This window comes from Homo sapiens, chromosome 20, assembly GCF_000001405.40.
Source record: "Homo sapiens chromosome 20, GRCh38.p14 Primary Assembly".
Lineage (NCBI taxonomy): Eukaryota > Metazoa > Chordata > Mammalia > Primates > Hominidae > Homo > Homo sapiens.
In genome coordinates, this window is record NC_000020.11 from 58,808,784 (window position 1) to 58,825,821 (window position 17,038).

The window sequence follows — 17,038 nt, forward strand, 5'->3', positions numbered from 1 at the left end:
ATCCTGACTCAGGAGCCTGCGTTATCACTACAAAGTCCACTCGTCAGAACACCCAGCAGGCTGGAGCCAAGGGGTCTGCACCCGTGTGACTTTGTCACTCCCACACTAGCACGTGCCCTTGTCTGTAGACACGTTCAGTTGTTTGGATTTGGTGGCGGAGGTGCTCTGATCCCTCTACAATGAGCCTTCTGCTTCTTTTTTAGCACTACACGGTAATTCCATTGCAAGGCAGGTATCGCATCTCACAGGTAGAGGCCAGGGTTGCTGTTACACATCCTACAATGTCCAGTCCACGGCCCTCACAATACAGAATGATCCCACCCCAAATGACAGTTACACCCTGGCTGGAAAAACCAGACAAAATCAAAATCACCCCGGGACTAAATGCTATCTTTGCAAGGTGGGAGTGCCCATTCCACACACCCTCAGGACAGGAGGTTCGCCGGGCCTATCCGTGCTCCTCCTTCTCAGGCCAGGTACCTGGCAAATAGGGGGCCCTCACCGAGGCCGGGTCTCCTAAGTCACTATGCTGCAAAAACCCACACAGCATCTCGGAGGGGAAATATGTGAGGGAAGTAATATCTCAGGATTCTCAACGATTTTTCTCCTCTGAGCTCAGAGAGCTTTTCCAGGACAATGTTACTTTATATTCCCATAATATAATGCAAGAAGGATTGCTCTTCTCACTTCCAGATAGACATATTTCCCGGAGAGCTGCTCCTGACAGCTAGTTAGTGAGGGGGCTGGATCAGAATCGATAAGTCCTGAAGCCCTTTTTTATTTTTACAAAATGAAAACAGCTTTTTTTTCCTGATTATAAAAATGATACATGGACATTGTTTCTTAAAAAATTCAAACAGTACAGAAAAACATAGAAAAATAAAAAATCACCCAAATCCTTTCACCAAGAGATAAACAAATGTAGACATTTGGGTACATGTCTTTCTAGCTCTTTCTCTGCGTGCAGGCATACACATATTTTACCAACACCGTTTTACCTACATCAGGGTTCCAGGACCACTATTGACATTTGTCGCTGGATTGTTCTCTGCGGTGGGGGCCTTCTTGTGCGTTGTAGGATGTTAGCTGCACCCCAGCCTCTACCCAGTAGACGCTACCCACCCCAGTCATGACAACTAAAAATGTCTCCAGACATTGCCAAATGCTCCCCTGGGGGGCAAAATTGCCCCAGTTGAGAACCACTGAGATAAATGGAATCATGTACCTACTGTTCGGTATGAACCCGATGTCTGGAGGAAGAAAAGAGTAAGGCTTTGTCTTAGGACTTTTGTGTCCTTTGGTTTTTTGGCAGCAGAGTCCAGGGTCAAGGTCCACTCTGATATTTACAAGGGAAGAACTTTACGTAAATGACCGCCCTGAGCCTCAGTTTCCACATCTGCAAACAGGGACAGTGACGGGACAATGCCTGTGCCACAGGTCGTTGAACCGCGTCCCAGAAACGATGTGTGGGAGGGGATTCCTGTGGGGCCCATCGAAACCCTGCCTGGTGGGTCCCACTGTGCGCCTGGCTTCCTGTTCCTGTGGTGGGGACTGGGCAGGGGAGGGCACCCCAGGCTGAGCGATTCTGGGCACCATGGCTGAGCAGCAGTGGTGGGGCTGACGAAGGCAAAAGTCGTGACGTTCTGTTTGTGGGCTTTGTTTTTTAATTCAATTCTTTTGGAAAACAGATAAGCACGAGTCTGCTTCAATCTAGTATGCTAGGTTTTTGGGGTGTTTTTTCATGTAAACTTTAGTTTCTTTTGAGCTTCAGATATTAAGAAAAAAAAAGACAAATGTACAAGATCAGTGGGAGGCTTAAGCAAATTGGTTTATTCCACTGGGTGGGGAGTCGGGGTTGATGAGTCACAATCCTGGTTTTGTCGGATTTTTACAAAGTAGCCTGTGGTTTCAAAACCGGTGAAAAGAAAGAAGACGGCAGCCTCTCTTGCTGTTGTCCCCTCTCCCAAACCCTGCCTCCATTTCTATGACATGCCCTACCTCACAGCCTGAGGTGGTTGAGTCAGGCCCCCAGGCCCACTGTGGGCCAGGTCCTCATGTGGAAGGGACATCTGCGGAATGATGATGGTGCCTGTTCCCTCCTTAAGGACGACATCAGACCCTCCTCGTGTTTTCCTCTTTTTTCCAACAAAGGAGCACAGTTCTGGGATGCGAGCTGGCCCCACCCATGCTCCGTGCTTACCCCTCTCCCTCGGGCACCTGGTGTCCCCAGGTCCTCTCCCCAGGGCCTTTGCACATGCTGTTCCCCACTGGTGCATGCTGCCTGCCCCTCGGCCTTGCGGCCACAGCAGGCGCCACTTCCTCTGGGAAGACCCAGCTCTTCCCACACACTTTGCAGTGTGCCGGCTTCAGAGATGACCTGATCAACCTGTCTCCTCCCAAGCCTGAGAGCACCCCGGGGTTGGAACCTGACTCATTTTGCCCAGGACTGTATGGACTCTGGGGATAGGCCATGATATTTGAAGGAAAGAGGTAGGGAAGAAAGGAGATCCTTCCATCTTTAAAAGTGTGAATTTTTTTTGTTGTTTTTTTGCCTTCCACATCGCAATCTTCCATATTCAGGTGGTTCAGGAAAACAGGAGCTCTCACTGCCTACTCCTCTCTTCCTCTTCTGGGGGCCAAGGTGAGCCACTCCCATTAGTGGATTCGGGAGATGCATCCATTAGGCCACCTGCCCATGGCCCGGGTGGCCGCCTCTGCCGCCAGCCGGTGCGTGGGAGAAGCGATGACCCAGCACTTCCCCAGCATGAGTGACCAAATAGCCGCTCTAGCCTTTCCCAAGAAGCCATCCTCTGTCCATAATGGAGAAATTATGTGAGGCGTAATTTATAGTAAAAATCAAATGAACATTAATTCTGGTGAGTCATCCATGCAGAAAGGGCATCGGCTATGGATGTGGGCTGCCGCCGAGTACAGCTGAATGTTTAATCAAACTGAGCCAAGACTGCGCCACAGGTTGTGGTTCCTGAAGTTTGGAGGTGCTGGGGTTTGAGCCCTCCCCATGGCCGCAGGATACACCTACGCCACCTCAGAGGGGTCCTGAGCTAGGAGGGGACTTGGCGAATAGTCCATCCACCTCCTTTATTTTACAAATGGGCACTGGAAGACCAGTGGGGAGACACCAAACTCATCAGCAAGCCTCTGCCCCCCAGCCTCCCCATCCCTGTCCACATGGCGGCCCAGCCCACATCCTCCACCACTCTCCCTGCTCCTCACAGCTGCGGGCAGCCACCTTCCAGGCTGCTTAGACCCTGTTCCTCTTCTGTCTGCCCTCGGTCACCTCCTCCCTGGTTCAGGTACTGTGACATTGTCCCAGGAAGACTCCAATAGTACCAACTTTCCATGTCTCTTGACTTCCACTCTGGCCTCCAATGGCATTCTAGAAGGAACTTTACAAAATGCAAAATGGGGTGTGTCACTGTCTATGTGAAACAATGGCTCGCACCCCCGGGGAAAATCCAGGCTGGAGGGCGAGAGGAGGTCAAGGTCTTCCCAAGCGGTCGTCATCCTCACGTGGGCACCTTTCCCTTTTGCTTGGCTGTCTGGCCACGTCCTCCAGGAAGCCCTCCCTGTACCTTCCTGCTAAGCTCCTGCTATTCACTTGGCCAGGGTCTGTCTCAGGCATGGGCTTTAAGCTCCATGAGGACAGGCTCATGTCCATCTTGCCCTCCTCCAGGCCCAGATAAGGGTCTGGCATGCAGTAGGTGTGCATTTGTCTTGTGGACTGTCTGCTTGGAGGCATGGATGATGATGGCTTGCCACAGGGAGCTGGTGATGGTGCTAGGGACCCCTCTTTTCTTCCTCTTCCCCTGGCCTTTCTAGGACTGTCCAGAAGGAAGCTGTTCCTTCAGAAAGCTGAGGAGGGGGCACCCTCATTCCCACCCTCATCCCTGCCTTTCACTTGACATTGCAGCAAGGCCAGGTGTGTCCTTCCACCCGGCCTGGACTGCAGGCCAGTCCTCCCAATTTGGTGTGAAACAGCAGGCCACAGATGGCTGCATTCAAAGGCAAGTGCAAATGCCTGGTGCACGAGCACATTTTCTTTTTGAGAGGGTGGCATCAGCCCAGATTCACCTCTAATTACAAGACCGTCTTGCCTTTTGAGAAAGTGAAGAATTTCAGGGGAGTGTGGGAAGATGTTTGTGGGCAGGCAGGACTCCCCGGCTCTCCTTCTGCCAGGAGTGCGCTCTGGGTTTCTTAGACTTGTGGAAACCACTGCCAACAGCCAGGAAGGCGGGACCGACAGAGCCTCAGGCCCCAGGACATCTCTGCTAGGCGGCCCCAGCTGGCCAGCGAGTCTCTTGACCATGGCCTTCGTTTTGGAGGCAGCTTGGGTCTTCCCTAGCAGCGTGTCCCACACTGTAAACAGGAGCATGCAGCAGCTTCCAGGGCACCCCACAATGCCCTGCCTGCACCCCCACTCAAACCCAGCACCCACCCCCTCCATCTCACCCACTGCACATCTGTGGCTCCAGCCAAAGCCCCAGGTGCCTCCTGGACACTGACCCTTCCTTCACTGCCTGCGCTGCCCACCCACCTTCCCCACCTTCCTCATGTCGCCCCCCCGTAATCCTCTCTCACCTGAGCTGCCACAGCTGCCGGGAAAAGGAGCTTCTGCTCACCCATTACGGGCGTGGTCATGTCACTCCCACATGCGCGCGCGCACACACACACACACACACACACACTGCACAAGTTCAGATGCTACAAGTGTACACACATACTGTTATGTGCACTCACACACACAAATACATGTGCACACAAATGCTGCACACGTGTGCACACACTCCACATGCAGCTATGTTCCCCCATACCCCTTCATCCCAGAATGTCCCCACCATGTAGGTGGAGGGGCATTATCTCTGTGTCCCTCCCATGGCCCACAGGGGACTCACCTTCTCTGACCTTGCCTGCTGCTCTCCTCTTCCCCTGGCTCACATGTGGGAGATCAGAGCATCAGGTGTGAGGGTGTTGGGGGCAGGCTGCAATTTCACAGCCCTGTTTTTTTCTGTAGCACCAATCTCTCCCAGAAGGCGTGATGCCTCCGTTTCTCTGTTTAGAGTCTGCCTGCACCACTCCTAGCTCATGAGTGCTGGGTCACAACTGTTTATATCTCACACACACACACACACACTTTAAATAAACTTTTTATTTTAAACTTTTAGATTTACAGAAAAGTTGAAAAGCTAGTGCCGAGCTTCTGTGTCTCCAACACCCAGGTTCTACCACTTATACTGCCATGTGATTTGTCACCACGAATGAACAGTATTGCCTGAAGCCCGCGCAGTGTGCAGACATCACTGGCTTCTCCCTAATGCCCTCTCTGTGCTCCAGGACTCCATCCAGAAGCCTACGTGACATTTCATCATCACATCTCCTGAGGCTCCTCCAGGCTTGGCTGAGTCTCTCAGCTTTTCCTTGATTTTGATAACCTTGACCATTTTGAGGAGTGCCAGTCAGGTATTTTGTAGATTGTCCCACAATTCGGGTGATCTGATGTTTGGTTCATGGTTACATTGGGATGATGCAGTTGGGGAAGGAAGACCATGTGGTATCCAGGGTATGTATTAGGCACAGGAGGATCCCTGATGACACGGGCCTCCAGCTGGCTAAGACACAGCTGCCCAGGTTTCTCCTCAGTGAAGACCGTTTCCCACCTTCAATGTGTACTCTTTGGAAGCAAGTCACTAAGCACTGTGCATACTTCAGGGGTGGGGAGCTACGTTCTATCTCCTTGAGGGGAAGTATCTACCGGAATTATTTGGAATTATTCTGTGCAAGAGATTTGTCTCTTCCATCTACTTATTGAATGATTTATATCAGTCTGGACCTGTGGATATTCTATGCATTGGGTCACAGTCCAGTTCTGCTTTGCTAGTCCCATGTCCCAGCTGTGACCCTTGGGAGCTCCTTCTGTCAGCTCCTGTGTCCCTGAAACCTGCCGCCATTGCTGGGGTACTTCCTTCCTGACACCACATGATGCTCCAGGCTCACCTCGCAGTCTTTGCTCCAACCAAAGAATAAGTCTTTTTTTTTTTTTTGAAACAGGGTCTCTGTCACCCAGGCTGGAGTGCAGTGGTGCAATCCCAGCTCACTGCAACCTCCACTTCCTGGGTTCAAGCAATTCTTGTGCCTCAGCCTCCCGAGTAGCTGGGACTACAGGCATGCACCACCACGGCCAGCTAACTTTTGTATTTTTAGTAGAGATGGGGGTTTCACCATGTTGGCCAGGCTGGTCTTGAACTCCTGGCTTCAAGTGATCTGCCCATCTCAGCTTCCCAAAGTGCTAGGATTACAGGCACGAGCCACCATGCTCAGCCAGAATAAGCGATTTTCACCAAAAGCCTGGTTCCTTTTATGGGAGAATGGCGCCACCAACTAAGGCCTGGGTGGCCTCACTGCTTCAAGGTCCTCTGGGAGCCCCTGGAAAGAACCAGGCAATAAAAGGGCATATACTAACCCTCTCTGCACACCTATGGAGACAAGTCTTTCTCTATCCACCAGACTCTGTATTAAGCGACACATCACACATCACCAGGACTCCCGGGAAGTCACAGATTTTCTCTATGTCAACGATCCTGGGCCAGCAGTTTAGCTCACGTTTACAGAGAGCAACCAGCCAGGTGGCAAATGCATCTATCTTTTTTTGGCGTTGGTGGTGGTGGCTCCTAGCATCTAGCTCGGGGAGCTGCTGAACACTCTATAATCCCCAGGACGGCCCCCACCAGGGATGGAAGCAGCCCTGAAGGTCAGCAGTGCTAGGGTGAAGGCCTGGGGTGCACAGATGCCGCAGGAGGGAAGCCTGGGAGAGCCGCTGCTGCTCCCCTGCCCCGCTTCATTTCCCAGCATGCCGCTTTTCCACACACGACACAGCCCACCCACTTCCTGTTGGTGGTCTGTCTCTCCCCTCCAGAAGCAAGCTCCATGCAGAAAGGGCTCTTCCCTCTTCTGTGACTGCCGTGTTCCACCCACATGGCTGGGCCCTCGGGAGGGCTCGGTGTCTAATGATCCCATGGGGAAAGGGGAGCTGGAATGGGGCAGAAGCCACCAGAAGGAAGGTCAGCCTTGGAAAGGAATCACAGTGGGTTTTCCCGAGACAGAGGGGCGAGTGGCAGGTGGGGTGACAGAAGGGAGGCCAACCCTGCAGCAGGGCTGGGGGCAGTGAGGGCTGCAGGGCCTGGGGGCAGGGCTCCCATGAACTGTGCTACGGCACAGCCCAGGCATGGGGACACCCAAAAGAGAGGGCTGGGGTGCCAGCCTTAGCGGGAACAAGCAGGGAGCCCCCCACACCCCCACCTCAAGCTATGTCTCAAGGCCTGAGCCCCTGGGGCGTGCGCTTGCGTGTGAGTGAAGGCCTCTCTGCTCTCTTCCTGGCCTTCCCCAGCGCCCCTGGCCTCTTGCCCCATTCACACAAGGCCTTTTCCGCCTGGTACCTCAGCTGTGGGGCCTGGCTGGTGTAACTCATGGGGCCCCAGTGGGGGGCAGAGGGGCCACTGGTTTCCTGGCCTGCTGTCTCCACCAGGGTCTGGATCCAGGCACTTCTGCTGACAGCGCCCAGCGCGGGGCCACCATGTGCCCAGCGGCCTCCTGCAGAGAGGCCCCTGGGGAAGCTCCCCACTGGCCCCCTTTCCCCTGCCTAAGGGGAGGCCACAGCCACGGGAAGGGCTCAAGAATGGACTTCAGGGGTCCCTGAGACCCCAGAACTTTCAACTCTGAGTGACGTTCTTGCACTGGGAAGGGCCACTGTTCCTGCAGGTCCGGACTCTATTTTGGAGACTCCGCCAGCTCTAGCAGGAGGGAGGCTCACCCTTGCTTCTGCCCTCAGGACAGATGTGGGGACACTTTGCACCCCAAGTCCTCCTAGCCATGCCCGGCACCTCCCACCAAGTCTTGTCCACACAGGGAGCGTCAGGCCACCCTGCCTGTCACACCCCAGTTGCCTTCCTGTCTTTTCATCTTTTTGCTCTGTCCATCCACTCATCCATTGGTCCGTCCAGCAATAACCTGAGACCTGCTCCGTCCTAAGTGTATGAGAGAGTTCTGCCCTTTGGGGTTTAGTCTGGTGGGGGAGACAGGTGTTAAGACAGTGAGCCCGCAACTCCCCGCTGCGCTAATGCCATGAAGGCAGGGCCAGCCGCAGCAAGAGGAATCACAGTGGGGGCAACTGGTTCCACGCAGGAGTTGAGGGTGCCATGTTTCCAGCATGACCCCCAAGCAGCCACCATGAGTCAGAAGCAACCCAAGACCGTCAGACACTGCGCACTTGCTTCGAGGACTCTAGCAAGCAGAGCTGGGCTCTATGAAGAGTAAATACAAGAGCAAACATCCACCACTCTTTCTACACAAGTTTATTAGGCACCTGCTGGGTATCACGTGTGGAGACAAGCTGGACAACGTAACAATCCGCAAGGCAGCTACGGCCTTGCCCTGGAGCTCCCAGTCTAGCAGGGGTGGAAAACAGGTAAGCCCCCCAGCGGAAGCCCCAGACCTGGCATGCTGTGAGGTCGGGGAAGGAGCGGGGGCTTTCCCGAGGAGGCGTCAGTGAGGGTGGAGAGAGCCTCCGGAAGGGGAGCGGGCACCGGCGAGGATGGCACCGCATCCTGCAGGTGCTCGTGGCTGAGGGTGGGAGGTAGGTAAAACTCCCGGCAGTGGGGACCCACGGGAGACTGTGGCAGAGGCGCGGCACGGCGAGTTCACCATTCCCCAGTGCCCGGCCGCCCCAGGGGACTCAGCAGCTGACATGACAGGGGCCCCTCTTGTATCGACTGTCCTGTCTCCACTCCTGGCACACAGCTGCGGGTGCAGCGCTCTTCAGAGCCCTTCAGGAGAGCCTCCACCCAACCCTCTGAATTAGGCACAACAGGATTGAGGGGGGGCCCTCTGGAAGGGTCCTTTCTCCTCACCTCCCACATGAGGCTGGGCCTGATTTCACAATTTCACTCAGGATCTTCCCTCCTCAATCCTCCCAGCCCTGTCCCATCTCAGTGGCCTGTGGTGGACCCCAGATCCACAGACACAGGCCCTCTCCGCACAAGGGCTCACGTGGTCCCCAGCCAAGGCCCCTACAGCACTTTCTACGGAGCCCTCTTCCCAAACATGCACATCCAGCTTGCCTCTCAGCCACCCCGCCTCCATCTCAGCTCCAAGGAGGCCTTGGCAGCAGGCTCGGGGCGCCATGGAACGGTTCACTGCGTCTCTGCCCTGGCCTCACGTGCTGCCGGCTGGCCTTGCCATTCATCTTCTGAAGGCTATTCTCTGATGGCTCTGCTGGCCACCTTGATCTGAGTGGCAGGTCTGTGCTAACAGTGTTTTGTGTGGGGCCCTGGGAGAAGAGTCCATGAACCACTGCCTAACTCAAGTGCTGCCACGGTGAAGCACCCCTGCCTAGTTCTGAACAGACGCAGCACATCAAAGGGGAGCCGGCAGCTCACTCCTGAGCAAAGCAGCAGGCTAGTTCCTCACAGTCAAGGAAAACCACTGGGAGAACCTCCCTGCTTCTGCTGAAGACCTGAGCTGCTTCTCCCGGGTCCCCCAGTGCTGACAGGCCTCTAGCATCAGGTCCATGTGGCTGATTCTGGAGATCTTTAGGAGGATGGGACTGGCTGTTGAGAACTGTCAGTATGAGTCTGTCTGGCTACTCTGCCTGGGAACATTCACTGAGACATAAAGAAGATATTAAATAGCTGGAAAATTAGGAACCCAGCTAGGGCTGGAGGGGAGGTCTTAGAGGATCATTCTGTAAGTGCTGCCGGGGAAGGAACAACGGTGAGGGCTCAGGCTGGCTCTCTCTAGGGTCCTCCACAGGAGGAAGAAGACCACAAATCTAACCAGCCTAGCAGCCCCAGATACACAGAGCACATGTGGACAAAGCTGTGGCTGCCTGCATTCCATGGGATCATCTTGTATGCAGCAGTAAGAAGGGTCTGTTCTATGACTGCTCTGCTGCCTTTTTTTTTTTTTTAACAGCAGCTGGTTTGGAGTCTCCCACGTATTGCCTGAGGTGGTTTGGTGGTAACCAGCTAACAAAAATCCTTTCATTTTAGGTGCCTGTGGGTGGTGTGGTCGCCACCAAGAATGAGTCAAGCCATTTCTAAAGAATCCACAGTAGGCTCTGTCTGACAGGGTGCATCTGGGAGGGCCTGCCGGGCCTTTATTCAACACTAGATACGCCCCATCTCCAATTCTAATGGACATGTGCAGAAAATGTGATACAGAAACCTGCAGAGCAGCCAGTTCCCAGCGGACGTCAGAGATCAGCTCTTACCTCAAGGATCTTGCTCACCAAACTCTCTTTGCTTATCAAACCTTTCTTTCAGAGGGCAAAGGTTAACTCCCATCTAGAAGAGGTTGAAGTACTATGGTTTTCAAACCAGGAACGTGGCACTAATGAGGCGGAGCTCTGGAGAGGCACAGCTGCAGAAGGTTCCAGGGACCCTTGGAAGCAGACAGGGACCCTTGGGAGCAGACAGGTTTGGAATAAAAACAAAGAGAAAAACAGGGCAAAGGATTAACAACAGAAATGAAACCAGGCGCACACACACTCACCTGCGGCATGATCGCCTGCGGTCACACTCCAACTTGATATCTTGCTTCCAACGGCCAGAACGGCCATCAGTGGAACTTACTTTCACGGGCAATCTTTAGGCTGTTGTTTATTGTTGATTTAAGAGAGAAGCAGTTATGGTTTTGAAAACATGGCCCTTTTTCTGATGGGGGGAGAGCAGGTTTCAATGAAATGGGTGTGGAGTCCCAATCTCCAAGGCCTTTGTGTCTGATCTGAGAGAAGCCATCTGCCAGAGTCAAATTCTTCAGGGCCCTCAAGAACAGAGGGCAAGAAGCCAGGCTTAGATAAGCCTTTTCTGAAGCCCTCTGGCTGGCCAGAGAAAGGAGGCAGGGCTATGGTGCTCCACTGATCCTGTAGGGCCGGGGCAAGGAATGGGAACCCAAGCAGAAACCAGGCAACCAACCAGGATTGTTTCCATCATGAAACAATAGAGCAGGCAAACCCATCTACCTCTGGTCCCAACCTTTGTCACGGACAAAAAACCCAGACCCACACAGGTGACCACGACCTCAGTGTGAGGTAGAACAGCTGGGACCCGGACTCAGGTCCAACAGGTGCCCAGGGCAAAGGGGTCCTCGCACCCCGCCCCAGGTGACCCTCCCAGAAAAGGGGTGCTGAATGCTCATCCGTACTGCCTCTGCGGCCGTGCCATCTAGTGGGGAGGGGCTTGGGCACTCTGTGCCCCACCAGAGCCCCCAGGTTCTCAATCTCCAGAGTTCAGACGCCCGCTCCAGTGGGGGCACCAGGAATGGCAAAGAGATGCCTTCACGGTGTTGATGGTGTGCGCCAGCCACCCATGCACATGACCTGGTGTTTCTGTCGTGGAACTGGAGATGCGGCCTTAGGTGCTGACCGCTGAGCCACACAGGTGGGGCTCACTTTCTCACCTATCAAGAAATATACATGGGAAACCCACAGAGCCCTGCCTCCTGGCCCAGCTGCCAAGACGAGGCTGAGCCGAGCCTCTAGAAGCACCAGGTAGACGAAGGGAGGGAGGCACCACAGTAACCGGAGCCATACCTGGCACCTGGACACCTACCCGAGGGAGCTCTCCAAGGGTGCCCCACCTAAGGCCTAAGGAACCAGCTCTGACTATAGGCTGAGTCCCAAAGGGCCAAGGAAGATTCCAGAAGCACTAGTGAACCTTCTCTACACTGCCAAGCCAGAGGCCTCAGAGAAAGGCAGCCTCTCCCAGATGGACCCTGTATTAGTCCGTTTTCACACTGCTGATAAAAACAAACCTGAGACTGGGCAATTTACAAAAGAAAGAGGTTTAATTGGACTTACAGTTCCATGTGACTGGGGAAGCCCCACAATCATGGCAGAAGGCAAGGAGGAGCAAGTCACATCTTACATGGATGGCAGCAGGCAAAGAGAGAGAGCGCTTGCGCAGGCAAACTCCCGTTTTTTAAAACCATCAGATCTCATGAGACTCGCTATCATGAGAACAGCACAGGAAAGACCCACCCCCATACTTCAATCACCTCCCACCCAGTTCCTCCCATGACACGTGGGAATTGTGAGAGTTACAATTCAAGATGAGATCTGGGTGGGGACACAGAGCCAAACCATATCAGATCCCCTTCAGTGAAAAGACCCCAGCTACCCAATGTGGGGCAGCTCAGCTCCTGCTCTCCCCGCTCTCTTCTTGCCACAAGAATCCCATCTCCTAGTCAGGGAGACCTTCAAGCCAGCAGGGCCCTGCTCAGAAGCCTCAGGGCTTCCCGCTGCACTTGCAATCAGACCCCAGTGCCATGGCCGTGGGCTGCCCTTATGGTGCTGCCTCCTCAGCTACCCCAGCTCCTTCCCTGGCCCCTGCTCACTTCCTGCAGCCAGACTGGTTTCCTGCTTCCCTACAGCTCATGGCCAGCTCTTTCCCACCTCAGGGCCCTTCCACTGGCTGTCCCCTCTGTCCAGTGTGCTCTTTCCCCAGCTCCTGTGACTTGGCAGGCTCCTGACTCACCAGAGCCATCACCTCGGACTCCTCCATCAGCTCCATCATTTTCCAGGCAGCATTTGAAAGGCGACCTCTGGAGCCTGACCAGCCACTGGAGTTCAAATCCGGACTCCACGATTTTCCTGCTGTGTGGCCTTGGGCAAGCTATCTGACCTGTGCGTACCTCAGTTTTCCCATATGTTTGCTATGAAGAGTAAATTAATGCATTTCTCTAATGCCTAGAACATGGTAGGCACCATAAATCAGTAAGAGGAAGGGCTTCTCTGTGCCAAGAAGCCTGAGTGTGGGGCAGGCTGTGCAAGTATGGCTAACCCTAGCGTCCCTTGGAAGCCTACAGGAGGAGACTCACACTTCTTCAGAAGATGAGGGGATCTTCTGAGCCTTCATGTACATGGCTCTGAAGGAGTTAAGGCCTAGCTGTGGTCACAACTACCATGGATTCTTCTCTGAGGCCTGGATGAGCAAGAGAGAACTCTGACCCACTAAGGAAAAGGAGGGAATTCTGAATACGAATACGGATTAACTCAGGGGCCGCCTGAGGCCCACAACAGCCCCAACAGAAACTCCCCTCCTCCCTCACCTCCTCTCCTCTTGAAATCCTTGTGCTGAAAAGCAAGGCCCAGGTTTCATAGCAGCCTGGGCCTCCTCTGGCTTTCCTAAGTCATCCCTATCCCGACGAGAATGAGGGAGGCCGAGGGATGCACAGACGTTAAGTGGCTATGGTAACTGCCCTAGCCATTTTGTGTTTCTGCTCAGCTTACTAAGGGGCCCACCAGGAGGAAGGCAGGCAGCCATGATGGCTCCCCAGACCCGGCCATTCAATGCTCATCCATCAGCCCAGGTCTTCCAGACCAATGTCACAGCAAAGGCAAGGAGGCCCCGGCCAGAACTCAGTTGCTGGGTCCCTGCCCAATTCTGATGATGACCCTTGTTTCTTATAAGATAATAATAGCTCCACTTTACTGCAGGGAGAACAAGTGCAAATGCCTAAGGAGGCCAGGCCCCACTCAGAGATGAGTGACAGGCACAAGTGGTGGCAGGCACAGGGGTGTGTGTGCTGCTGGCCGAAAGGGGGCGGCCGCACCCCAGCTACGGTTGTCTATGGACAGGAAGAGGCAGGCCCCAGAAAACTAGAGGCTCCACTAGACCAGGAGAAGTCAAATGGCCAAAGGCTTCTGTAAAATCTGCGGACACCTAAACGTTGGCGGTCATCATCATTCATCCTTAAAAGAACTCCTGTGTGGTCGAAACATACCATGTATCTGGGTGAGAGCAGGCCTGGAGAGCAGCTTCCGGCTCCATCCCACAATGGAGGCTGGTCACCCATTAATTTGTACTATTAATAAAGGTGGCGAACATTTAGGGACACTTTTCTGAGTGTCAGGTGCTGCTTGTTCTTACTTAATTCTCTCCTGGCCCCTTCCCTGAAGTCAGGAAACTGCCTTGGCAGATAAATAAGTCGCCCCAAGGCCCCGGAGTGGAAAGCAGGGTGCTGAGGTTAGCGCTCACATCTCTCTGATGCCACAACAGGGCCCTGAACCACCAGCTCTGCTCCCTACGTGTTCCCGACCTAGGGCTGGGCTCTGACCTGGCTCCTCTGGCCCTGTCCTTGGTGCTTTCACACAGTTCTGTCCGCCCCTGGCCCCAGCACCTGCGCTCTTGCCTGCCCGCCACCCCTGGCGCCTACTGTTTCCTCATATGATCCTCCCTGCTCCCTCTTCACGGGCACTTCCCAGGCTGGCTTCTTCCCAAGCCTTAATCCCACTCAGCTCTCCTGGCCATATCTAGCCACGGCAATGCAGTGGCCTCCAAATCCCCCTGCCCCTCCATCCTGCTGCCAACTGAGCTTCCATTTGGCCTGTGACATTTAAAAATATCTGTCCAGCCTTGGCGTATAGAACCTAATATCCCCAGCTGTTTAAATACCACTGCCTCATTCGGCCCCCATGCCTGTGCGTCCAATAAAAGCAGAAACTGACCCTGAACACGGGGCCACTGGAACCCTCTATTCCAATCATGCCATTCTTAATTTGGCTCCTTTGTCAAATGGGTCATCAGTGCGAGCCAGTTCCTGCCCCTACAAGGAGAAGGCTGGCAGGGGCTTGGGGGGCTTTGGAGAGGCAGGTCAAGGTGTGGCCATCTGTATGCCTGTGACGGGCGCACGTGCCTGGAGCATGCGGTGATGTCCGCCACAGCTGTCCTCCATCCCCCCCGTCTCCCGACCCCAGTGGGCCCCATGGCCTTGCTATTAATACAGTGCAAAGAGGCCCAGCAGCTGGCCGGGGCCAGGTCTTTCCACATGGATGGTGACAACTGCCATCACCCTGGATGTGGGCTCTGCACGTTCCCAATGTGCCTTCTGTCAGAAGGGGCAGAGCTGCAGTCCGCTGGGGTACTGTCTGCTGAAAATGTCCACTCTGACTTGGCAATGGGGGAAATCACCAATGATCAACTTGGGAGTCGTGAAAGGGGGCTCAAAAGATGAGTGGTCGCTTTAGAGCACTCCTAGTGCTCACAGGAACAAGGGTCTGCTCCCCTAACCGCGCCATCAGCCTGCATTTGCATGGAGGCCCCAGGCCACAGGCTTCTTCTCTCATCATCGATACATAGGTCCAGCACAATGCCCAGCACAAACATGCAGCCAAGTACACACCTATGCAGCGAGGAAATCCCCCACAGGGAGATACAGAGAAAGGCTTCATTTTCCTGACACGCTCTCTTTGGGGAGGAAGAGGTCGGCTTCAACATATCCTAAAAGAACCCATGAAGAACGAACTGTTAGGTGGATCAGAGCCACAAATCCAGAAGAGAAGAACCCAGTCTACTGTCCAAAACTGCCAGGGGTGAAACACTATGATTTCTGGGATTTGCTGTGAAGGGCTCCAGAAGAAAAGGTGTGGTGACAGAGGAAACCAGAGCAGCAGAAGCTGACGGGCAGCGCAGCTGCGCTGGCCTCCTCTCTGCCTTGGTGTGCTTGAAAATTTCCATAACAACAAGTTTAAAAATACACATGTGAAAAATTGTTCAACAAATATTTACTGAGGGCCTAATATGTGCTAAGAACTCTTCTGAGGGTTCTTAATTTGTATAGAAAGAAGAAAGGTGAGCAAAGTCCCACCATGCTGGTCAGCAGCAGCTCAGCCTCAAAACAACCTCCTTTTGCCATAGCACAGCAGGCCCACCCCCAAATGCCCTGGGTTGGTTTCAGCTGTCCCATGCCACTGACCCATGGAGGCAGTCCGAATACGTACTTTTAAAATTTAGTATTTAAAAATACTATCATTCAACCCCTGTGACCCTATGCAGCCCAACCCGAGAAAGAACACAGCCAAGAACTTCATCTAGCAGAATGTCCTTCTCCCACTCCTTGTGGTCTCCCCTGCCAGAAGAAACCAAATGCAGAAGCTGAGTTTATCATATGCTCGCTGTAAACATTTTATCATGCATGCATTACTTGGTTTTGCCTGCTTTTGAACTTGATGAAGAGAGCATTGTACTTTCTGGCATCCTATCAAGAACTGAGAGCACTATGGGAGAACAGACCCAGCTCCCCTCACCCAATCCCCAGAAAAGCTGGGAGTGAGAACAGAGGTGAGTGGATGGGTTCTGTGAGAGGCCTTCTGGCTGGAACACTGCTTCAGAGCATGCCAGCAGGAAGTGAGAAGTGCCCGGGCTCATCTCGCTGGGGCTTGGGACACAGCTCTACCGACTGTCTCTTGGCTGCGTCCGCAAACATAAACACGTGAAGTGGGAGCAAATGTCATGGTAAAGGCAGATCAAGACAACTCCATCTGTTGACTTATTATTAGACAACAAATGTCATGGGAAGAAAATGTGCCCCAAGTAATTTAGCCCCGTTGAAACTCAACAGGCTTCCGCTGGTTGGAATGAGAACTCTTCCTACCTCTCCTTAGCTAAGAGGCACCTGACCAGACACTGGGAGCAAAACCTCATTTATCCCCTTTGGTGGGAAATCTTTGTGTCCTAGAAGACCATCTCTCACCATCTCTCCTAGAGTCCAGATGAGCATTTCTCAGGTCAATGAAGAGACTGGGTGGATGGGGACAGGATCAAGGAGGTGCTCAGGGCTGCACCTGGAGGGACATCAGCCACGCTGCCATTTCCAGAGCATGCACTTGTCTTCATGAGTATTTTTAAAATACTTAACCAGACGCCAGGGATACTGGTAATCTTTCAATAGCAGTTGTATAATTTTCCTTTAAAAACCAATGTATTTACATAAAAAAACAGCTGACTTAGAGAGAAGTGTGAAGTGCAGTTCAGTATTGGAATATGGCAAAAACCGTGAAGGTGGTGCGAAAATAATTGAAGTCAGCAAAAATGACCTCGATATTCCTAAAGGGGTGGAATTTTTGTTCTAATTTCTAAGGTACTTTTGCGCTTAGATGGTTTTAACTGTAGTCTCTGCCAACAAAGGCCACTCATAACCCCCAGTCTGAACGGACCCTACCCTGTTCAAGGCCCAGAGCTGTGGGGCA

At 53.4% G+C, this 17,038-nt stretch overlaps 3 non-coding genes across 8 annotated transcripts in view, besides 1 other annotated feature; all 3 read right to left on the reverse strand.

Annotated features, from left to right (window-relative positions):
• Nucleotides 4,413-4,912: an enhancer, noted in NCBI's record as "H3K4me1 hESC enhancer chr20:57388251-57388750 (GRCh37/hg19 assembly coordinates)". NCBI's record gives its function as "activates a minimal SCP1, AML or CMV promoter by ChIP-STARR-seq in naive H9 embryonic stem cells {active_cell/tissue: H9 hESC(naive)}" and the evidence as "EXISTENCE:reporter gene assay evidence [ECO:0000049][PMID:30033119]".
• On the reverse strand, nt 8,832-8,911 carry MIR296 (microRNA 296). Its single transcript, NR_029844.1, has one exon. It is a non-coding gene; the product is annotated as a microRNA 296 (primary transcript).
• On the reverse strand, nt 9,443-9,530 carry MIR298 (microRNA 298). The gene has a single exon (NR_030580.1). It is a non-coding gene; the product is annotated as a microRNA 298 (primary transcript).
• The window catches only part of GNAS-AS1 (GNAS antisense RNA 1), a 31,985-nt gene continuing 25,081 nt past the window's right edge, over nt 10,135-17,038 (reverse strand). For 5 of the 6 annotated variants that reach the window (NR_185849.1, NR_190184.1, NR_185847.1 and 2 more), the window contains one exon: nt 10,135-10,472. This is a non-coding gene — a non-coding RNA (GNAS antisense RNA 1). Of the gene's footprint in view, nt 10,473-11,837; nt 15,291-17,038 lie in introns of those variants that run through there. The other variant, NR_185848.1, reaches the window with a different exon arrangement.